The sequence below is a fragment of the Homo sapiens genome, chromosome 20 (assembly GCF_000001405.40).
Source record: "Homo sapiens chromosome 20, GRCh38.p14 Primary Assembly".
NCBI lineage: Eukaryota > Metazoa > Chordata > Mammalia > Primates > Hominidae > Homo > Homo sapiens.
The window spans coordinates 25954442-25979730 of record NC_000020.11 but is presented as its reverse complement, the minus strand read 5'-3'; the positions used below and the strand labels follow the sequence as shown (position 1 = coordinate 25979730).

Sequence of the window (25289 nt, the reverse complement as noted above, 5' to 3'; positions counted from 1 at the left end):
GCTTGTGCAATGAAGGGAATGCAAGGGTGGAGTTGGAAGCACTTCGTGTGTCATCTGTCTGCACCTTTTTTTGCAGATGAAGGTGCAGACCCCATCCACACCTCAGCAGACTGTATGCTCACCCATATCTGAACTTATTGCTGCTCACACTCCTAGTTCTAGAATGAAATCCCAAGATGTTGGAGGAGTGCTCCCTTCATGACATGAAGCACCTGCTCGGCTGCAAACAGAATTCGAATTGGATTCAAGCGGCCTGTGGACAGGACTGCTAGAGTCACACCCTGGGTTGACCACAGGACAATGAGGCCCTGACAGGTGTCTTCTTCTGAGAGTGGTGTGCTCCTCTTCTTTCTAGAAGAATGGCTCCTTTGTATGGGGAGGTGATTTGTACACCTGTGAGTCTCAACCATCCCCCCAACTCACCGTGGACTCAGGAACCACGGAAAAACAAAGAACATGCAGCCCCATAGGCCAAGCAGAGCCACACAGACAGGTGCACCAGAAGGTGGAGGGACTAGAAAAAAAAGTGCTGCAGTGCATTAAACACATTCCTTTTAGCAGATGCCCCTCACACACACACACAGACACACACAAACACACTCACATACAGCCACACACACACACGCAGACATTCAAACACTCACAACACTCGCACAGAAACACACAGCCTGGCAGCTCCTGAGGCTGCACGGTTCTGCAGAAAGCTCCTTCTGAGAGAGAGCAGCCTCAGAAAACAGAGGCGGGATGTACCTAGAAATCACAGGGAGGGAAGTTTCAAAAAGACTCACTCCCACACTGTCTAGGCAGGCCTGACTCATCGTGGGTATCCTTTTGGATCCTTAGGGATTTTGTGGTTTATTCCTGGGGCTCCACTTGATGTGTCTTCAGGCTGACTCGCCACTGCCCACTCCTAGGATTGTGGGAATATCCCATAGAGCCCTCAGAGTAGACAGGTGATAGTTCAATGCCAACACACATCCACAGAGGACTCCTTCTCCACCAAGATGAAGGGACTTGTCACCAGGTAATGGTGGCATTCACTGTGACATGAGCCACTGCTCACCACTGGTGCCTGGTGGCCTGACGGTCACATGTGCATTCACCAAGCAGGCTCGGGCACCTGGCTGTCAGGGCTGTAAGCCTGGCAAAGCTCAGGAAAATGGTACAGCCAGAGCTGGCCTAGTCTCCAGAAAAAGGCTGCCTGAAGCAACCCACTGCAGCACGCTAATAGTCTCGAACATAGGGCCTTCATGAGACATCTCCATGGTAGGGTCCCACAGGAGAAGGAGGAGTTTGAAGACTGTGAGGTGAGCTCTGGAGACTGGTCTTCTGACTCCATTCCCAAAAGAGGCTGTGTGCATGAATTGGGTCTCCTGGGGATGGGAATAAAGTCTGGTGAGTTGTTAAGAGGTCTCTGGGTGATGGAATAATATCTGAGATCCAAGTGGCAGGTGTCAGTGGAAGATGGCCAGGCCCTTGAACCCCCTGCCTTCCTTCATCCCAGGCCTCACAGGGGCTCCTGCTTCTCAGCACAGCTCTCTGGGAAAGGCAGAAACCACGACAAAGGCAAGTCCAAGGTGGAGCAGTGTTCTCACACCTAAAACAGGCCTCTCGTGGGCGCACATGAGGTTGAGAGAGTGTCTCAGAGGCTGTCTGGGGCAATTTGAAACCTGAGAATAATGTCCAGGAGTGCTGTTGATTGGCAATGTGGACAAACCATGAAAGCAAAGAAAAATCAAGGCTCTCCTGGGAGAATGAGCAGACTTGTGCAGGAGTCCAAGCCATGTTCAAGGATTCCTGCCAGAGGACTTAAAAGCCTCCTGCAAAGTGCAAACAATGCCAGCCACCACTATGAGACCACTACCCACCACCTGGTGTGTGGCCAGCCTACCCAAAATGCCTTTTGCTTTCTGATATTCCTGGCAACGAAAATATCCACAATGAAAGTCAGTCCTATCCACCAACAGCCCAATGAAAAACCCCATCCACAATGAGAAAGGAAGTGCAGATGACATGAAACAGAGCCTAGATTGCCAGGTAAAAGCCAGACACAGCTGCCTGTTTCTCATCCTACAGGAGTCATGCAGCTGTCCTTTAGAAGTGGGAGAACAAGAGTTATCTTGATGGTGGATATAATCGAAATTTATGATTCCAAAAGTATCACAACTGCCCAGTCATTAAAATGTGACAGTGTTTATAAGAAAACACTCATGCAATGGATTCCCATGAGAGTCGTCCTCCATGAACTGGGAAACTTTTAGTGTGGAAGACTTTGAGCCAGATCCAGAAAAACCCCAGGTTCATGAGGAACATGGAAGTCAGACTGAGCCAGACCTAGGACACTCTAGGCCCACAAGGAACATGGAAGTCAGGAACAGAGGAGGCCAGTGTGGAGGCCACATCCAACCCAGCATCAATCCATCTCACTCCAATGTGGCTCTGGGAATGAAAGCTCAATTCTGGAGCTGGCCAGAAGGGCCCCAGTTTGTAATCCTACTTTTCCCTGCACGATTGAGTCATCCCACCTGGGCACCAGGCCATGCTGTTGACTGTGCAATGAAGGGAATGAGGGGATGCAGTTGGAAGCAACTTCTGTGTCATCTTTCTGCACCTTTTTTGCAGGTGAAGGTGTGAGATCCCATCCACACCTCAACAGATTGTATCCTCACCCCTATCTGACCTTATTGTTGCTCACACTCTGTGTCCCAGAATAAGATTCTGAGACAATGGAGGAGTGCCTCCCTGATGACCTGAAGCACCTGCTCAGCTACAAACCAAAATAGAGGTAAATTCAAGAAGCCCTGCGACTGGACTGCTGGGGTCTGGCCCTGCGTTGGTCACAGAACAATAAAGCACGGGAAGTTGTCTGTTTTGGGGTGTGGTGTGCTTCTCTTCTTTGTAGAAATGTGGCGTTTTTGCAAAGGGAGGTGATTTTGACCCCAGCGGTTGTCAGCCATTCTTCCAATTCACTGTGGATTCAGGAACCATGGAAAAATGAAGAACATGGAGACCCTCAGCCCAAGCAGAGCCACAGAGACAGGCCACCAGAAGGTGGGGTGACAAAAAACAGTGCTGCAGTGCGTTAGCCACATTTCTTTTAGCAGACTCCACTTACCCCCACACACAGACATACACACACACACACACTCACATGACCACATTCACACGCAGATATCCACAACTTGAAACACTCCCACAGAAACACACATCCCAGCAGCTTCAGAGGCTGTGTGTTTCTGCAGCAAGCTCTTCTTGGGAGAGAGCAGCCTGGGGAACACAGGCGGGCTGTACCTAGACATCACCAAGGGGGGCAAATTTTAAGAAGACTCACCCCCACACCCTCTAAGCAGGCCCCTTCGGGCCATCTACATGGTCAGGTCCTGCTGGAGGAGGAGGCACTTGGAGACTGTGATGTGGATGCTGGAAACTGTTCCTCTTATTCCATTCCCGAAAGAGGCTGTGTGCAAGAATTGGGTCCCATGGGGAAGGGAATACAGTCTGCTGAGATGTTAAGGGGTGTCCAGGTGATGAAATCATACCCAAGACCCCAGAGGCAGATGTCAGCAGAAAATGGCAGGGCCCTTGAGCTCACTGCCTCCCTTCATCCTGGGCCTCACAGGGGCTCCTGCTACTCAACATGGCTCTCTGGGAAAGGCAGGAAACATGAGAAAGGCAAGTTCAAGGTGAAGCAGAAGTCTCACACTTCGAACTGACCTCATGGGTGCAGATGCAGTTCAGAGAGTGTCTCAGTGGCCGTCTGAGGTAATTGCAAGCCAAAAAAGTGTGTTTAGGAGCGCTGATGAAGAGTAGTATGGACTCCTCATGAAAGCAATGGAAAATCAATGCTTGCCTTGGAGAATGAGAGGGCCTGTGCTAGAGTCCAAGCCATGTTCAAGGATTCCTGCCAGAGGACCCAAAAGCCTCCTGCAAACACCCCAATCCCCCATAGTGAGACCACTACTCACAACCTGGAGTGCAGCCAGCCTACTGGAAGTATTTTTTGCTCCCTGAAATCCCTGGCAGCCAAAAGATCTGTAGAGAGAGGCAGTCCCCCCTAGCAACAGATCCATAAAAGATCCCCTCCACATGAAGAAGAACATGCAGATGATTGTAACAGAGCCTACATGAGCAGGCACATCCAGACACTGCTGCCTGCTTCTCATCCTATAGAAATCAGGCAGCCCTCTGATAAAAGTGGGAGAACAAGAGTTTCCTTGTTGGCAGATATGGTAAAAATCCTTTGCTATGTGTGGCTTTCTTTTCACAGTTAAAACTTTGTTTTGATTCAGAAGGATAGACCCTTTTTTTTGTGTCCCTATGAGGGAAAATTTCAAAATCCATTGAGGCCTATAGTGAAACACCAAATATCCCGCGATAAAAACTACAAAGAAGCTATGTCTGAAAATGCTTTCCAATGTGTGATTTTATCTCACAGAGTTAAACATTTCTTGTGATTCAGTAGGCTGGAAACTCTCCTTTTCTGGAATCTAAGAGGGGCTATTACAGAGCAAATTGAGGCCTATAGTAAGAAACTGACTATCCTGCGATAAAAACTAGAAACAAACTATCAGTGAAATGTTTTGTGATGTCTGGATTTATCTCACAGAGCTAAATCTTTGTTTTAATTCAGCAGTTTAGAAACACTTTCACTGTAGAATCTACAAAGGGACATTTTAGAGCCCACTGATGCCTATAGAGAAAAATGGAATATCCCGCGATGAAAACTTGATGCAAGCTATCTGTCAAAAGCCTTTGCGAGGCATGGAATTATCTCACAGAGCCAGCTTTTTGTTTTGATTCAGCACGTTGGAAACAAGTTTTTTGTAGAATCTAAGGTGAGACATTTTGAAGCACATTGAGGCCTGGAGTTTAAAACCAAATATCCTGCAACAAAAACTAGAAACAAGCTATCCGTGAAAATGCTTTGTGATCTGTAAAATAATGTCACACAGTTAAACCTTTGTTTTAATTCAGCACTTTGGAAAAACTCTTTTTCTGGAATCTACAAGGGGACATTTCGGAGCCCATGGAGGTCTATAGTGAAAAACAGAATATCTCACGATAAAAACTATAAGTAAGCTATGTGTGAAAATGCTTTAGGATGTGTGGGTTCATCTCAAAGAGTTATACCTTTCTTTTGATTCAGCAGGCTGAAAACAGTCTTTTTGTAGTATCTACCAATAAACATGTCACAGCCCATTGAGGCCTACAGTGAAAAACAGAATATCCTGCGGAAAAAACCTAGAAGCTTGCTGTCTGTGAAAATGCTTTGTGATGTGTGGATTCGTCTTACAAATTTAAACCTTTCTTTTGATTCCATAGGTTGGAAACACTATTTTTGTTGAATCTAAAAAGAAAAAATGTCAGAGCTCATTGGGGCCTATAGTAAAAAAAAAAAAAAAAAAAAAAAATTCCACGAAGTAAACTAAAAACAAGCTATCAGTGAAAGTGTTTTGTGATGTGTGGATTCTTCTTACAGAGTTAAGCTTTTTTTTTAATTAGCATGTTGGAAACACTCTTTTTGTAGAATCTATGAAGGGACATTTCAGAGCCCTTTGAGGCATATAGTGAAAAACTGAATATCCTGCGATAGAAACTAGAAATAACCTATCAGTGAAAATAGTTTGTGATGTGTTGATTCATCTCCTAGAGTTAAACCTTTGATTCAACAAGTTGAAAACACTTTTATTGTAGAATCTATGAAGAGCATTTTCAAAGACCTTTGAGGCCCATAATGAAAAATCAATTATCCTGCGATTAAAACGAGAAAGAAGATATCTGTCCAAATGCTTTGCAATGTTTGGATTCATCTCACAGAGTTAAACCTCTGTTTTAATTCAGCAATTTGGAAACACTCTTTTTGTAGAATCTACGAATGGGAATTTCTGAGACCTTGGAAGCATATTGTAAAAAAGCGAATATCCCACACACACAAAACTAGAAAACAGCTATCTGTGAAAACGACTGGCAGTGTCTGGATTCATCTCACAGAGTTAAACATTTGTTATCACTCAGCAGGCTAGAAATACGTTTTTCATAAATCTAAGGAAAGACATTTCAAACCCTGAGGCCTATAGTGAGAAACTGAATATCCCGCGATAAAAACTACAAACAAGTTATCTGTGAAAATACTTTGTGATATGTGAAATAATGTCACATATTTAAACCTTTGTTTTAATTCAGCAGTTTGGAAACACTCTTTTTGTAGATTCTACATAAAAACATTTCAGAGCCCATTGAGGCCTATAGTGGAAAACCAAATATCCCATTAAAGAAACTAGAAGCAAGCTATCTGTGAAAAAGTTTTGCAATGTGTGGATCCAACTCACAGAGTTAAAACTTTCTTCTGATTCAGAAGAATCAGAACACTCAATTCAATCAGAATTGAAACACTCCTTTTCTAGAATCTACGAAGAAACATTTCAGAGCCCATTGAAACCTATAGTGAAAACCCTAATATCTCATGATAAAAAATGGAAACAACCTGTCTGTAAAAATGCTTTGGGATGTGTGGATTCATCTCAAAGAATTAAACATCGTTTTCTTTCAGCAGGTTGGATACACTCTCTTTGTACAATCGACACAAGGACATTTCAAAGCCCACTGAAGCCTGTAGTGAAAAACTTAATGTCCTGTGATAAAAAACTACAAAAAAGCTGTGTCTGAAAGTTATATGCAATGTGTGATTTCATCTCACAGAGCTAAATCTTTCTTGTGATTCAGCAGGTTGATTAAAAAACCGATTATCCCACAATAACATCCAGAAACAAGCTATCAGTAAAAATTCTTTGTGATGTGTGGATTCATCTCACAGAGTTAATCATTTTTTTGATTAAGCAGATTGGAAACACTCTTTGTGTAGAATCTACAAAGGGACAGTTTGAAGCCCACTGAGGCCCATAGTGAAATACAAAATATCTCACGATAAAAGTAGAAACAAACTGTCTTTGAAAATGCTTTGCAATGTGTGGGTGCATCTCACAGATTTAAACCTTTGCAGGTTTAAATTCAGCAGGTTGAAAACACTATTTTATAGAATACATGAAGGGATATATCACACCCATTGATGCCTATAGTAAAAAGCAGAATATTTCACAATAAAAACAATAAAAGTCTATATCTGAAAATGCTTTGTGATGTGTGGATTCATCTTCCAGAGTTAAATATTTGTTTTGATTCAGCAGGTTGGAAACACTCTTTATGTAGAATCCATGAAGGGCCATTTCAGAGCCCATTGAGATCTACAGTGAAAGATGAAATATCCCACAGAAATAAAAAAAAAAAAAACAAGAAAAAACCTATCTGTGAAAATGCTTTGCCATTGTGGATTCATGCCACAGAGTTAAACTGGTGTTTCAAATATGCAGGCTGGAAAAACTCTTTTTGCAGAATCTACAAAGAAATACTTCAAAGCCCAGTGAAGCCTATAGTGAAAAGCAAAATATGTGGAGAAAAAAACTACAAACAAGCTATCTGTGAAAATGCTTTCCAATGTGTGTATTCATATCATGGAGTTAAAGCTTTCTTTTGATTAAGCAGGTTGAAAGCAGTCTGTTTTTAGAATCTATGAGAAGACATTTTAGTGCCCATTGAGGCCTATGGTGAAAAACTGAATATCCCTTCATAAAAATGAGAAAGAGGCTATCTGTGAAAATGCTTTGCAATGCGTAGATTTAACTCACAGAGTTAAACCTTTGTTTTGATTTAGCTGTTTGGAAACATTCTTTTTGTGGAATCTATGAAAAGACAATACGGAGCCCCTGGAGAATTACTTGGAAAAAGGGTGTATCCTATGATGAAAAGTAGAAAGAAGATATCTGTGAAAATGTTTTGCAATGTGTGGATCTATCTCACAGAGTTAAACCTTTGCTTTGATTCAGCAGGCTGGAAACCCTCTTTTTGCAGATTGTACAAAAGGACATTACAAAGCTCATTGAGACCTATAGTGAAAAGTTAAATATCCCACAGTGAAAACTAGAAACAAGCTATCTGTGAAAAGGTCTTGTGATTTGGGGAATCATCTCTCAGAGTTAAACGTATGTTATTTTTTCAGCAGGTTGAAAACACTATTTTTTTATAGAATATATGAAGGGACATTTCAGAGCCCATGGACAAGTACATTAAAACACTGAATATCCTGCAATAAAAACTACAAACAAGCTATCTATGAAAATGCTTTGCATTGTGTGGATTCCTTTCACAAAGTTAAACATTTATATTGATTCAGCAGGTTGGAAACACTATTTTTCTAGAATCTACTAAGGGCCATTTCAGAGTCCATTGAGGACTACTACAGTGAAAGACCGAATATCCCATGATAAAAACTAGAAACAAGCTACCTGTGAAAATGCTTTGCAGTATGTGGATTCATCTCAAAGAGTTAAACATCTATTTTACTTTGGCAGATTTGAAAAACTCTTTTTGCACAATCTACGAAGAAACATTTCAAAGCCCATTGAAACCTACAGTGAAAAACAAAATACGTGGAGATATAAACAAGAAACAAGCTATCTGTGAAAATCCTTTGGGATGTGTGTATTCATATCACAGAGTTAAACCTTTGTTTTGATTAAGCAAGTTGGAAACAGTCAGTTTGTAGGATCTAGGAGAAGACATTTTGGTGCCCATTGAGTCCTATAGTGAAAAATGAAATATCCCATGATAAAAACAAAACAAACAAACAAACAAACAAAAACAAGCTATCTGTGAAAATATTTTGCAATGTGTGGATTCACCTCACTGAGTTAAAACTTTTTTTGATTCAGCACTTTGAAAACCCTCTTTTTGTACAATCTATGAGAGCCATTTGGGAGCCTATTGAGGTCTATAGTGAAAAACTAAGTATCTCATGATAAAAGCTAGAAACTAGCAATCTGCGAAAGTGCTTTGCAATGTATGGATATATCTCATAGACTTAAACCCTTGTTTTGATTCAGTAGGCTGGAAACACCCTTTTTGTAAAATCTACATAGGGACATTTCAGAGCACATGAAAGCCATTAGTGAAAAACTGAAAATCCCATGACAAAACCTAGTAAAAAGCTATCTGTGAAAATACTTTGTGATGTGTCAATTCATATCACAGACTTAAACCTTGTTTTAATTCAGCAGTTTGAAACACTCTTTTTGTAGAAACTAAAATGGCACATTTCAGAGAACATTAAGGCCTAAAGTTAAAAGCGTTATATCTCAAGATAAAAACTAGAAACAAGTTATATATGAGAATGCTTTGAGATGTCTGGATTCATCTCACAGGGTTAAACCTTTGTTTTTACTCAGCAGGTTGTAAATGCTCTCTTTGTAGAGTCTATGAAGGGATATTTCAGAGTCCATCAAGAAGTATATTAAAAAACCGAACATCCTGCGATGAAAACTAGAAACAAGCTATCTGTGAAAATTCCTGCCTATGTGTGGATTCCTCACAGTATAAAACCTTTGTTTTTATTCAGCAGACCAAAATCACTCTTTTTTTAGAATGTACAAAGGGACATTTTGGAGCCCATTGTGCCCTGTCATGAAAAACTGAGTATTGCATGATAAAAACTAGAAACAAGCCAACTGTGAAAATATTTTATGATTTGTTATTTTATGTCACAGAGTTAAACCTTCGTTTTTATTCAGCAGGTTGAAATCACTCTTTTTGTAGACTCTATGAGGGGACATTTCAGAGCCTATTGAGGTCTATAGTGAAAAACCAAATATCCCATGATAAAAACCAGAAACAAGCTATCTGGGAAAATGCTTTGAGATGTGTAGATTTATAGATTTATCTCACAGAATTAAATGTTTGATTTATCAGATTGCAACAACTCTATTTGTAGAATCTACGAGGGGACATTTCACAGACCATTGAGGCCTACACTGAAAAAACTGAATATCCCATGATAAAAATTAGAAACAAGCTATTTGTAAAAATGCTTTGTGACGTGTGGACTTATCTCATAAAGTTAAACCATTGTTTTGATTTAGCAGGTGAGAAACACTCTTTGTAGAATCTAAGAAGGCACATTTCAGAGCCCATTGAGGTCTAAAGTAAAAAATTAAATATCCCACTACAAAAACTAGCAACAAGCTATATTGGAAAATGATTTGTGATATGTGGATTCATTTCAGAGAATTAAACCTTTGCTTTGATTGAGCAGGACTGAAGCACTCTTTTTGTAGAATCTATGAAAGGACATTTTGAAGCCCATTGAGGCCTATAGTCAAAAACCAATTATCCCGTGATAAAAACTAGAAACAAGCTATCAGTGAAAATGCTTTGTGATGTGTGGATTTCTCGCACAGAGTTATATCTTTGTCTTGATTCAATCAGTTGGATACAGTCTTTTCATAGAATCTATGAAGGGACATTTCAGAGCCCATGGAGGAATATATTGAAAAACTGAATATCTCCCGATGAAAAGTAAAAACAAGCTACTTGTGAAAATGCTTTGTCATGTGTCGATTCATCTCACAGTGTTAAGCCTTTATTTTTACACAGCATTTTGGAAACACTCTTTTAGTAGAATCTAAGAGGGGACAATTCTGAGCCCGTTGAGGCCTATTGTAAAACATCCAATATTACGTGATCAAAACTAAAAACAAGCTATCTGTGAAAATGTTTGCAATGTGTGGATTCACCTCAAAGAGTTAAAGTATTGTTTTGGTTCAGCAGGTTAGAAACATTCTTTTTGTAGAATCTACAAGGGGCATTTCTGAGCCCACTGAGGACTATAGTGAAAAACCAAATATTCCGTGATAAAAAGTAGAAAAAAAATCTGTGAAAATGCTTTGCGATATTTGAATTTATCTCACAACATTAAATATTTGTTTTGATTCAACAGGTTGGAAATTCCTTTTTTTTTTTGTACAATTTATGGGAGACATTTCAAAGCCCATTGAGGCTTATAGTGAAAAACCGAATATTCTGAGGTAAAAACTATATGAAGATGTCTCTGAAAATAATTTACGATGGGTGATTTCATCTCACAGAATTAAACCATTCTTTTGATTCAGCAGGGTAGAAACACTCTTTTGGCAAAATCTTCAATAGGACATTTCAGAGAAAATCGATGCCTACGGTGAAAAACCGAATATCCAGCAATAATGTGCAGATTCATCTTACAAGGTTAAACCTTTATTTTGCTTCAGAAGCTTGAAAATTCACTGTTTGTAGAATCTGTGAGGGTACAATTTGAAGCCAATATCAGCCTGTAGTGAAAAACCAATATTCCACAATAAAAGTAAAAAAAAGCTATTGGCCAGGCATGGTGGCTCACGCCTGTAGTCCCAGCACTTTGAAAGGCTGAGGCGGGTGGATCACGAGGTCAGGAGATCGAGACCATCCTGGCTAACATGGTGAAACCCCATCTCTACTAAAAACACAAAAAATTAGCCTGGCCTGGTGGCAGACACCTGTAGTCTCAGCTACTTGGGAGGCTGAGGCAGGAGAATGGCATGAACCCGGGAAGCCAAGATCGTGCCACTGCACTCCAGCCTGGGTGACTGAGTGAGACTCCATCTAAAAAAAATAAAATAAAATAAAATAAAAACCTATCCGTGAAAATACTTTGTGATGTGTGGATGTATCTCAAAAAGTTAAACGTTGTTTTGATTCAGCAGGTTAAAACACTCTTTTTGTACAATCTACAGAGGAATCTTTCAAAGCCCATTGAAGCCTATAGTGAAAAATCAATATCCCGATATAAAAACTAGAAACAAGCTATCGGGGAAAATGCTTTGCAATGTGAAGATTTATCTCACAGAGGTAAACCTTTATTTACATACAGCAGGTTGGGGGACACTCTTTTTGTAGAATTAGGAAGTTACAATTAAGACTCCTTTGAAGCCTATAATGAAAAACACAATATCCAGTGATGAACCCTAGAAACAAGCTATGTGTGAAAATTCTTTGTGATGTCTGATTTCATATCAAAGAGTTAAACCTTTATTTTTGTTCAGAAAAATGAAAAACTTTTTTTTTTGTAGAATCTGCAAAGAGACATTTCTGAACCCATTGAGGCCAATAGTAAAAAATCAAATGTCTCATCATAAAAGCTAGGAACAAGCTATTTGTGAAAATGTTTTCCAATGTATAGATTCATTTCACAGAGTTAAACCTTTGCTATTATACAGGGAGTTGGGAACACACTTTTATAGAACCTATGAATGGACATTTCAGAGTTCATTGAGGCCTATACTGAAAAACCAAATATCCTGCGAAAAAAACTAGGAAAAAACTATCTGTGAAAATGCTTTGCGAGGTTTGGAGTCATCTCACAGATTTAAACTGTTGTTTTGATTCAGCAGGTAGGAAACACTGTTTTTGTAAAATCTACTATGAGACATTTCTGAGTCTGATGAGGCATATAGTGAAAAACCGAATATCATGCTTTAAAAACTAGAAACAAGTGATCTGAAAATATGCTTTGTGATGTGTGGGTTCCTCTCAAAGAGTTACACGTTTGTTTTGATTCAGCAGTTTTAAAACACTCTTGTTATAGAATCTACAAAAGGACATTTCGGAGTGCTTGAGGCCTTTAGTGAAAAACCGAATATCCCACAATAAAAATTAGAAACAAGCCATCTGTGAAGATGCTTTGTGATGTGTGGATTTATCTCACAGAGTTAAACCTTCCTTTTTATTCCATAGGTTGGAAACACTCATTTTGTACAATCTACAAAGGGACATTTCAGAGCTCGTTGAGGCTAATATTGGAAAATCTAATATCCTGCGAGAAATACTATAAAGAAGCTATTTCTGAAAATACTTTGTAATGTGTGATTTCATCTCACAAGTTGAACTTTTCTTTTGATTCATCAGTTTGGAAACTTTTTTTGTAGAATCTACAAGGGGAGATTTCATAACCCATTGAAGCATACTGTGAAAAATCAAATATCTCTTGATAAAAACTCAAAGCAACCTATCTGTAAAAATGCTTTGCAATGTGTAGATTCATCTTACAAAGTTAAACCTGTGTTTTGCTTCAGCAGGTTGGAAACTCTTTGGTTGTACAATCTACAAGGCAACAATTCCTAGTCCACTGAGGCATTTAGTGAAAAACCAATAACCCATGGTAAAAATTAGAAACAAGCTATGGGTGAAAATGCTTTGCGATGTGTGGGTTCATCTTACAAAGTTAAAACTTTATTTTGATTCAACAGGTTGGAAACCCTCTTTTTGTAGAATCTACAAAGGGACAATTTCAGAGCCCACTGATGCTTATAGTGAAAAACCAAATATCCCACAATAAAAACTAGAAACAGGCTATCTGTGAAAAAGCTTTGCATATCATCTCACAGAATTGAACATCGGTTTTGATTCAGCAGATTGGAAATATTCTTTTTGTAGAATCTACAAGGGGAAATTTTGGAGAAAATTGAGACCTACAGCATGAAATCAAATATTCTGCAATAAAAACTAGAGAAAATCCATCCATAAAAATGTTTTGTGATGTGTGGGTTCATCTCACAAAGTTAAATCTTTGTTTTCATTCAGCATGTTGGAAACACCTTTCTGTAGAACCTATGAGGGGACATTTCATAGCCCATGGAGGCCTACAGTGAAAAACTGAATATTATATGATAGAAACTATAGAAGCTATATGTGAAAATGCTTTGCAATTTGCGGTTTCATCTCATACAGTTTAAACTTCCTTTTGATTCAGCTAAGTTGGAAACACTCTTTTTGTAGAATGTATGAAGGGACATTTCAGAGCCCATTGAGGCCTGTAGTGAAAAGTTGAATAATTCATGATAAAAACTAGAAGCAAGCTATCTGTGAAATAGCTTTGCAATGTGGGGATTTATTTCACAGACTTAAACTTTTGTTTCTACACACTAGGTTCAAAACTCTCTTTTAGTAGAAGCTAAGGGGGACAATTTAGAGCCCTTTGAGGCTTATAGTGAACAATTCTAAGTTTTGTGATTAAAAAGTAGATACAAACTATCTGTAAAAATGTTTGGTGACTTGAAAATTCATCTCACAGTGTTAAACATTTGTTTTGATTCAGTACTTTGGCAAAAATTTTTGTAGACTGTACAAAGGGACATTTTGGAGCCCATTGAGACCAATATTGAAAAAATGAACATCTTGCTATAAAACTAGAAAAGTTCTTGGTGAAAATGCTTTCTGATGTGTGAATTCATCTCACAGATGTAAACCTTTGTTTTCATTCAGCCGGTTGGAAACACGCTTTTTATAGAGTTCAGGAGGGGATAGTTCGGAGCCCATTGAAGCCTCTATTTGAATACTGAATATTCCTAGTGACTTATGGTGTTGAGCATCTTTTCTGAGGTCTAAGAAATGTGTCAGGTATGGTGACACACGCTTGTGGTCCCAGCTACTCAGGAAGCTGAGGTGGGAGGGTTACTTGAGCCCTGGAGGTTGGTGCTGCATTGAGCCATCATTGCACCACTGCACTCCAGCCTGAGTGACAGAGCTAAAACCTGTCTCAAAAAGATAAATAAGACCTGGTGCAATGGCTCATGCCAGTAATCTAAGCACTTTGGGAGGGCAAGGTGGGTGGATCAAGAGGTCAGCAGATTAAGACCATCCTGGCTAACACGGTGAAACCCCGTCTCTACTAAAAATACAAAAAATTAGCTGGGTATGGTGGTGGGTGCCTGTAATTCCAGCTATTCAGGAGGCTGAGGCAGCAGAATCGCTTGAACCCGGGAGGCAGAGGTTGCAGTAAGCCAAGATCATGCTGTTGCACTCCAGCTTGGGCAACAGAGTGAGACTCCATCTCGAAAAATAAATTTAAAAATAATAATTAACAAATAAATAATTGACTTAATTTTTAGAACAGTTGTAGGTGTACAGAAAAATAGAGCAGAAGGCATATTGAGCTCTAATATCTGCCTCACAACACAGTACACACACTTCCTCTATTATCATCTTGTTAGTGCGGTACATTTGTTATGCTTGATGAGCCAACATTGATATTATTAAGTTCATGGCTTATATTAAGATTCACTCTTTGTGTTCTACCATTTATGGGCTTTGACAGATGCTTAAGCAATATATCCACCATTATAGGGTCACACAGAAAAGTTTCACTGCCCTAAAAATCTTCTGTGTTCCACCTATTCATCCTTCCCTCTGCTGAAGCCTCTGGCAACCACTGAACTTTATATAATGCCATCTGCTTAGTTTTGTCTTTTTTAGTATTCCATATAATTGGAACTCTACACTATGTGGCTTTTTGCATTGGCTTCTTTCACTTAGAAATACATGTTTAAGATTCCTCCATGTCTTGTCATGCCTTGGTAGTACATTTATTTTTATTCCTGAAGAATATTCCATTGTATGAATGTTTCACAATTAGTTTATCCATTTCCTTATTGTACGATATCCTGGTTACTTCCAATCTTTGTTGGTTACGTATAAGCTGCTATAAACATTCATATACAGAATTTGAGTGGATATAAGTTTTCAAGTCATTTGAGCATATACCAAGGAATACAATTGCCAGATCATATGGTAAGCGTATGTTTAGTTTTGAAGGAATTTGCAAAACTGCCTTCCACAGTGGCTTTACAATTTTGCATTCCCAGCAGCAATCAATGAGAGTTCCTGTTGTTCCATATCCTCATCAGCATTTGGTAGTCTCAGTGTTTGGATGTGAGCCAGTCTAATAGATGTGTAATGGTATCTCATCATTGTTTTAATTTGAATTCCCTAGTGACATATGGTGTTGAGCATCTTTTTAGATGCTTATTTTTGCTATCTATATAGCAAAGGGCAGATACAGATGGTGAACTGCAGGGAAAGAGCTTGCTATGATGATAGGAAGCTGCAGGCAGAGATGATCTCACAGTTAACTGGGCATCAACTGTGCCTTCTCCTGTCACATAAAATGTGATCTACCTGAGTTTTGACTGGAAACACAGAATATCTGATTGTTCATAAATATTTCTTACTGAAGCTTGAGGTTTATGTATGTTATGATCAAAAGGTGATATCACCCCAATATATAAGCAGGTTGGAGTACAACAGGGAATGATTGTCAGAGATGTTGAGAGTCTACATTGAATGGATGGTGTCACTGGCTGCCCATATATTTCTCATTATGGACTTTAACTTTTCATTTGCCACATGAAAGGCCACTGAGATAGGCTAAATCACATTTTTCTCTTGGGGATCTCTGTTACTGAGAAATTTTTGCATTCTGGGCTACACTGGGTTCATAATCTGACTATATATATATATATCGTGTGTATGTTTGTTCCTTCCCTAAAATGCTCAGTTCAGCTGCAGTTCTAGAGGCAAATACTACTAGGTTTCCATTTTAGAGAGTTGAAGATCTGAGGTCTGGAGAAGTTAGTGTGTAGAAAGTTATATTTAACAAGTGGCAAGACCATGTGGCTAGGTCAGATAAGCTGCCTTCAGATTTTACTCTTGAACTTCTACTGGATAATGTCTTTTTTTATAGAAAAGAAAAGAGTGAACTTAGATTTTTTTTTCAAAATCATGGACTGTAAGAGTTCTTTCAAGATATGATGAAAAGCAATAATTGTCTCATTTTACATTGCCTATAATTATTGCTCACCAGAAATTGATTATCCATGCAGCAACCTTTTACATTCCTCTCTGCTTTACTATGCATGAGGGGGCTTCACTGTAAATAAGAGGTCCAAGATTCAGAAATATCTTTAACTTGCAATGCTTGGTCACATGTATCCATCTGAAAAATATTTTGCTCATTAGCCATATGGACTCATATGGCAAACTACAGCCAGAGACACAAAATGTGGAAAGAAGAAAGGGCTATCAGAAGTCCCGTGTCTCCTTACATTTTGTATTTCTATTCATATGCATCTAGAATCATAAGGAATTTGAGCAAATGGGAAATGCAAAGTCCTAATCAAAGCATACCCACATTTCAGTTATCTGCATTATTGCACATTTAAATTTATAATGCATACATAGGATACAATTCAATAGGTATAAAAATGTTAAGTAACCTTTTCTCTCATGCACCCCAGTCACTCAGTAGCTCACTTTAGAGTCAACATTTTAATTTTGTTGTGCATACTTTCATAAATTTTCTCTCTCTCTCTCTCTCTCTCTCTCTCTCTCTCTACATATATATATATATACATTCTTTTTTGAGGTGGAGTCTCGGTCTGTCACCCAGGCTGGAGTGCAATGGTGAGATCTCATCTCACTGCAACATCTGCCTCCTATGTTCAAGCAATTCAACTACCTGAGTAGCTAAGATTACAGTGTGTGCCACCACACCCGGCTAATTTTTTGTGTGTGTTTTTAGTGGAGACGGGGTTTCACCGTGTTGGACAGGCTGATCTCAAACTCCTGACCTCGTGATCCACCCACCTCAGCCTCCCAAAGTTTTGGGATTACCAGCATGAACTACCACACCTGGCCATTTTTTTCTCTTTAAAATAAATTTTATTGTGTATATTTAAGGTTCACATATGATGTTATAGAATACATATAGATAGTAAAAATTCATTACTATAGTGAAGCAAATTACCATATCTATCACAGATACGCACATTTTTTGGTGTGGCAAGGGAAGGTAAAATCTTATTTAGCATGAATCCCATATACAGTACAATTTTATTACCTATAGTCCTCATGTTGTATATAGATGTATAGGATCGTTCATCCTACATATCTGCTACTGTGTATCTCTGACCCACATGTCTTTATTTCCTCCCTTCCTCTCTACCTGATAACTACTCTGTTGTTCTTTTTTTTTTTTTTTTTTTAGGCAGAGTCTCACTCTGTTACCTCCCAAAAGTGCTGAGATTATAGGCGTGAGCCACCGCACTTGGCTGCTTTCACCATTTCAGACTGAACTTGGAGAAGAACCTGAGGAAAAACATGACTTTAAAATTTTGATGAATGGAGAAATCTCTTTCCATTCACCTTCCTTTCCTCTATTTCATTCTTATTGTGAAATATGCAAACAAACATATGGATCCATCAGTTATTAAATAAACATCTGTGTGATACCTATCCAGGTGAAGAAATAGAGCACTATCACCACCAAGAAGTCCTCTGTATGCCCCTAAATGATCCTAAAGTCTTCCATCCCTTATTAGTAACAGATATAACAGATAACCACATTACCTGTGGATATCTGCATTTCTCTCCTAGGTTCTCTTTTTATTATGTATTTTTTTCTTTCTTTTCTTTTTCTTTTTTTTTCTTTTTTAGAGATGGAGACTTGCTCTGTCACCCAGGCTGGAGTGTAGTGGCATGATCTTGACTCATTGCAACCTCCAACTCCTGGATTCAAGTGATTCTCATGCCTCAACCTCCCTAATAGCTGGGATTACAGGCATGGGCTATCTGCCATCATGCCTGGCTAATTTTTGTATTTTTAGTAGAGACGGGGTTTTACATGTTGGTCAGGCTGGTCTCGAACTCCTGACCTCAGTGCCTGGCCTTATTATGCATTTTTTAGAAGCCTAAAGTCAAGTCTGGTTTTGCCTGATTTTTCTCTTACATAATTGGAGTAAAGTCTGTATCCTGCTGCCTCTGGCTCCTTTTACCCAATATTAAGTATTTAATATTCACACTTAGCATTGTTTCTGCATTCTATTAAAACAGTACAGCCAGTCACGATGGCTCATGTCTATAATCCCAGCACTTTGGGAGGCTGAGGCAGGCAGATCACTTGAGTTCAGGAGTTCCAGACCACCCTAGCCAACATGGTGAAACCCCATCTCTACTAAAACTACAAAAAGTAGGCCATGCAGTGGCTAATGCCTGTCATCTCAGCACTTTGAGAGGCCGAGGCAGGCAGATCGTGAGGTCAGGAGATCGAGACCATCCTGGTGAACACGGTGAAACCAAATCTCTACTAAAAATACAAAAAATTAGCTGGGCGTGGTGGCATGTGCCTGTAGTCCCAGCTACTCGGGAGGCTGAGGCTGAAGAATCACTCTGGGAGGTGGAGGTTGCAGTGAGCCGAGTTTGCACCACTGCACTCCAGCCTGGTCGACAGAACTAGACTCTGTTAAAAAAAAAAAAAAAAAAAAAGGCCAGGCATGGTGGTGGGTGCCTGTAATCCCAATTACTCGGGAGGCTGAGGCAGGAGAATCAGTTGAACTTGGGAGGTGGTGGAGGTTGCAGTGAGCCAAGATTGCACCCTGTACTCCAACCTGGACAACAGAGTGAGACTCAGTCTCAAAAAAAAAAAAAAAAAAAGGCCGGGCGTGGTGGCTCCCACCTGTAATCCCAGCACTTTGGGAGGTGGAGACAGGTGGATTACCTCAGGTAGGGAGTTTGAGACCAGCCTTACCAACAAGGTGAAACCCTGTCTCTACCAATAATACAAAAATTTGCTGGGAGTGGCAGCACCCATCAGTAAGACAAGCTACTCGGGAGGCTGAGACAGGAGAATTACTTGAACCTGGGAGGCAGAGATTGCAGTGAGCCGAGATCGCACCCTGCACTCCAACCTGGGGGCCTGAGCAAGACCCCATCTCAAAAATAAAAATAAAAATAAAAATACAGTACACCAGTGTGTATCCCTTCATTGTTGGTAGACATGTGGGTTGTGTTCATTTTTGTCAGTTACAAATGATGCTGTTGTGAACATTTGTGTATTTATATTTGGTTACCATTGGTGTGTATAGTGTGTATAGTGAACAGTATAAAACAAGAGGTGAAACCATAGGTTACAGCGTAAACATATCTTCCATTTTATTAGCTATTATTGGTTTCATCCCAATGTTAACACACCAACTGACAGTCTTACAATGTCTGATAATTCCCAAATCTTCGCATTCTTCTTGATACTTAATTTTGTCAAAATTTTAATTTGAGTTTTTGGTGGGTATGTGGCAATGATTGTGATATTAATTTACTGGGCCTTTTCTTCTCTGTAACTAGCCCTGTCAAGATATATGTGTAGTGTGGGAGGGGTAGGAGCCCCTAGAGGTAGCATGGGCTCTGGAATCCTTAATCATTCTATGTGAAAAAGTTGGTGGGGCAGTGATTTTTTTTTTTTTTTTTTTTTTTTTTGAGACAGAGTTTTGCTCTTGTTGCCCAGGCTGCAGTGCAATGGCGCAATCGCGGCTCATTGCAACCTCCACCTCCCAGGTTCAAGTGATTCTCCTGCCTCAGCCTCCCAAGTAGCTGGGATTAAAGGTATGTGCCACCACAACAAGCTACTTTTTTGTATTTAGTAGAGATGGGGTTTCACCATGTTTGTCAGGTTGGTCTTGAACTCCTGACGTCAAGTGATCCACCCGCCTCAGCCTCCCAAAGTGCTCAGATTACAGGCATGCACCACTGCCCCTGGCCTGTTTTCATTTTATTAATTGGCTAATTCATTCAGACACATAATTATCAAGTCAAATCTCACTCTTTCCTTAGCATTTATCTTCAGTTTAGCTTAGAAAATCTATTCCTATTTTAAAATATATACAATTATTTGAGTGTGGTGGCACATGCCTATAATCCCAGCTACTTGGGAGGCTGAGGCAGGAGTATCACTTGAACCTGGGAAACTGAGGTTGCAGTCAGTCAAAATCGCCCCACTACACTCCAGCCTGGATGACAGAGTGAGACTCCATCTCAAAAAAACAAAACAAAACACAACGAGAAGGTTTTCTCCAGATCATTTTTACATTTAATTATTCAGTCTGTTTTGACTATACCTTAATGTAAAGAATTCAGTAAATATAACTTCAATCCTACACACTATTAGTCAATGTACGTAACACGATTTATTGAATAAACCAGTCCATTCCCAACATCATTCTACTAAAAATACAAAAAACATTAGCCAGGCAGGTGGTGGGCACCTGTAGTCCCAGCTACTCGGTATGCTGAGGCAGGAGAATGGTGTGAACCCAGGAGGTGGATCTTGCAGTGAGCCTAGATCACACCACTGCACTCCAGCCTGGGCAACAGAGCAAGACTCCATCTCAAAAAAAAAAAAAAGGAATTTATTTCCCAACGTAAATTAATAGAGCCATTAAGGAAAATAACATGGAGATTCATCAGAAATTAAAAATAGAATTACTGTATGTTCCAGCAATCCCACCTATGTGTGTATAGCTAAAGGAATTGAAATCAGCATACTGAAGAGATAACTGCACTACCATATTCACTGCAGCATTATCCATAATAGCTAAGATATGAAAGCAACCTTGGAGGCCAGCATAGGATGAAAGGATAAAGAAAATGTGATATATATATATATATATATATATATATATATATATATATACACACACATACACACATACATACACACACACACATAAAGGAATACTATGCACTCTTCATTTTATTTTATTTTATTTTGAGACATAGTTTCGCTCTTGTTGCCCAGGGTGGAGTGCAATGGAGTGATCATGGCTTACTGCAACCTCCACCTCCCGGGTTCAAGCGATTCTCCTACCTCATCCTCCCTAGCAGCTGGGATTACAGGCATGCACCACGTAGCCTGGCTAATTTTCTACTTTTAGTAGAGACGGGGTTTCTCCATGTTGGTCAGGCTGGTCTAGAACTCCCGACCTCAGGTGATCCACCTGCCTCAGCCTCCCAAAGTGCTAGGATTACAGGCATGAGCCACCATGCCCGATCTTACTATTTACTCTTTTTTTTTTCCTTTGAGATGGAGTTTCCGTCTTTTTGCCCAGGCTGCAGTGCAATGGTGTGATCTCAGCTCACTGCAACCTCCGCCTCCTGGGTTCAAACAATTCTCCTGTCTCAGCCTCCCAAGTAGATGGGATTACAGGTGCCCACCACCACGCCCAACTAATTTTTGTATTTTTAGTAAAGAGGGGGTTTCACAATGTTGCTCAGGCTTGTCTCGAACTTCTGAGCTTGAGTGATCCACCAGTCTCAGCCTCCGAAAGTGCTGGAATTACAGGCATGAGCCACAGCACCCAGCCAAAAACACAGATTAGTGTATTAATAGTCTGAAGTACTGTAAAATACTGCTGAGAGTACAGATCACTAATATCATCATCACAGAGCACAAAACAAGTTCTGGTATTATTAAGAAAATCATAGCTCTGACTAAAACATACATGGAAAACACATTCTATTAGAAATTAAATTATACTAATACTATTGACAATCACTTTTATAGCTGTCACTGTAAACTCAAAGACAAGAAATAACTTCATCACCAGAAAACATAAAACAAGTACTTAGCCTTACTCCTGAGAAGGCTGTAGTTGCCTTTTACTGAACGACACCTCAGTTCTTGGGATAAAGTTTGAAACAGCAACTGGAAGGACAGCTTTAACTTTAAAATGGTTTTATTTTTAGAGTTGTCATGTTATAAAAGCTATTCTCACATAGCTAAGCTGTTGGAAAGAGACCAGGTTTTGTGAAGGTTTTTCATCAGGTATTTCATGTTGTCCTCACTGCAACCTCAAACAATGGCAAATGCTTCGTAAGCCATTGTGATGTTTACTCAGTTACTGAGTTAGCAACTGTAATGCTAACTCAGCTGATAAATTAATAAAATTCTGTTTCTTTAGGCCGGGTGCAGTGGCTCACACCTGTAATCCCAGCATTGTGGGAGGCTGAGTCGGGCGGATCACAAGGTCAGGAGATTGAGACCATCGTGGCTAACACGGTGAAAACCTGTCTTTACTAAAAATCCAAAATATTAGCTGGGTGTGGTGGCACGCATCTGTAATCCCAGCTACTTGGGAGGCTGAGGAAGGAGAATCGCTTGAGCCTGGGAGGCAGAGCTTGCAGTGAGCTGAGATTGCGTGACTGCACTCCAGCCTGGGTGACAGAGAGAGACTCCATCTCAAAATAATAATAATGAATAAATAAATAAAATAAAAAATAAAAAGGTGGAAGAAACTCAGACTTTCAAAAATTAAGGATCCTATTTTTACCTAAGATATTGGCTTTACTCTTCGGTTCCCTTGATTGACTTAGCCAATAATTTTTTTTCTACCTAACTACACAAGAAAAATGAAATGAAGGTGTAGAACTCAAGAATCCCTGTGCATTTCTAAAAGCCAAATTTTACAACCACTGCAATATTACCATTTACTAACATTTTCTTTCTGTCTCAGCCAAAGGTAAGGGGCCTCTAACTGGGACAGGCATGGTGGCTCACGTCTGTAATCCCAGCAATTCGGGAGGCCTAGGTGGGTAGATCACTTGAGGTCAGGAGTTCAAGATGAGCCTGGCCCATATGTTGAAACCGTGTCTCAACTAAAAATACAAAAATTAGCTGGGTATGGTGGTGGGCACCTGTAATCCCAGCTCCTCGGGAGGCTGAGGCAGGGGAATTTCTTGAACACAGGAGGCAGAGGTTGCAGTAAGCCTAGATCTTGCCCCTCTACTCCAGCCTGGGTGACAGAGAAAGACTCCGTCTCAAAAAAAAAAAAAAAAAAGAGAGAGAGAGAGAGGCCTCCAGCTGGATCCAAGTCAGTTAATTACCAGATCAAATCTGATCCTGGACCTAGTTCAGTTTCTGTCCTAACTTTCAAACTGTTTGGATCACAAATTTGTTCAGAGAAACTCAGAGAATTCCAAACACAAATCCATGGAGTTCTGAAATCTGAGAGAACTTACCCATGATCCCCAGCCACTTTGAGAGATCAAGGGACAAAAGTAGGTCCTTGCAGGTACCTTGCTTGTTCACTCAGCACTCCTGGGGATTGTTAAGTCTCTTCTTCAGATCCTACTTCTGACACCATCTGTTAAAAGAAAAACTTCAGCTGAATTAAATTTAAAGAAGTTCAATTCAACAATCAACAATTCATGATAGGGCAGTCCCTGGAATCACAGCAGATTCAGAGAGATTTCAGCACAGCCACGTGGTGAAAGATTTATAGACATAAAAAGGGAAATGAGGTACAGAAATTGGAGGTGAGGTACAGAAACAACTGAATTGGTTACAGCTTAGCATTTGCCTTAGTTGAGCACAGTTTGAACACTCAGTAGTGTAAGAGTGGTTGAAGTATGGTTGCTGGGATTGGCCTACACTCAGCTATTGTTACAGGTGCATACTCCTAAGTTAGGTTTTTCAACCTTGTCTACCTATTAAGTTAGGTTGCAGTTTGTCCACAAAGATTCAAATATAGAAGTATGGAGTCCTTCTCAGGACATATTTAGTGTGTTTCAACACTCTAAAATATATAAAATCAACCTAAACCCCAACCACCTTGGGAACATTTTCTCAGGGTCTCCTGAGGAGGGCTGTGTCATAGGCCATGGTCACTCATATTTCACTCAGAATAAATCTCTTCAAATATTTTACAGAGTTTGACTCTTTTACTCAACACTGTTCAGTAACAAAAGAGAACAAACTATCAAGACACACAGCAACAGACAAATTTCAAAAACTACACTGAGTGAAAGAAGCTAGACCCAAAGATTACATGCGCTATGGTTTCATTTATATGAAGTTCAAGAACTGGCAGAACTAACTTATGGTGATAGAAACCACATCACCAGTTGCCTTATGTTGCAGCAATACTGACTGGAAAGCGGTATGAGAGAAGTTTATGAGGTGAAAGAAATGTTTTGTGTTCAGATTAAGATGTGTGTCACTTGGGTTTATACCTTGAATATGTGTATATTTCACTCTATACATTTAATTCCTCATAAAATAAAATAAAATAAAATAAAACTGAAGAGAAGTAAATAAGAGTACTATGTCTTTATGCTACTCCAAAGAGAAGGTTTGCCTCCAAAAGAGAAGCCCGAGAGCTTTACTTTGAGCTATAACAAAAATAAGGTTTCTGAAGAAAGAGGAGATATCAGACAAAAAGTTGTTTCTCTAGGAATTAAAAAAGAAGCAGAAATAGATAAAGAAAAATTGTTCTTGTGAATTTAGTGCATAGCAAAATATTATTGTTTTTAGGGCTGAGTCTCTTTTCTCCTAAAACCTGGATATGCTGTATTCTTTAAGCCAATTTCAAGAAATAAGTGAAAAATCTCATAGGAAGAAAGAAAGGAAAATCGCTCTTTGAATATACACTAAAACCTGAATGTACAAATGGTACCTATCAGTGTACTAGGGAAAATGCACAATACACTTAAGTTGTTTAATTTGAATAGAATATAATAAAAGAGTAAATTAAAAGCTGTGGATAGTGTATAGATAAACCAAAAGGGATAATTCTGTATGTACCCTGCAACTGTTACCTTCTCTAGGCCTGAAGGGATGAAGGGCAGTATTAGTTATCGAAACTTGGAGACAAAAAGGCCGTGTGGAGATAACCACCTTCAAGACAGTGATCCAGGGCATTGGTGAGAGATAAAAGCATATGGCTTAGAGAAGGAAGTTATAGAAAGAAGATTATTAGTGGAGACAAGACAAGCCAGTGGGGAAGGAA

At 39.6% G+C, this 25289-nt stretch overlaps 1 long non-coding RNA gene across 1 annotated transcript; it reads right to left on the bottom strand.

Moving 5' to 3' along the window:
* Positions 1-10442: 10442 nt before the first annotated feature.
* On the bottom strand, positions 10443-23919 carry LINC01733 (long intergenic non-protein coding RNA 1733). The gene is made up of 4 exons (NR_110003.1): positions 23862-23919; positions 23521-23645; positions 16535-16669; positions 10443-14728 (listed from the first exon to the last, which is right to left on the bottom strand). It is a non-coding gene; the product is annotated as a long intergenic non-protein coding RNA 1733 (long non-coding RNA).
* Between the last annotated feature and the right edge of the window lie 1370 nt (positions 23920-25289).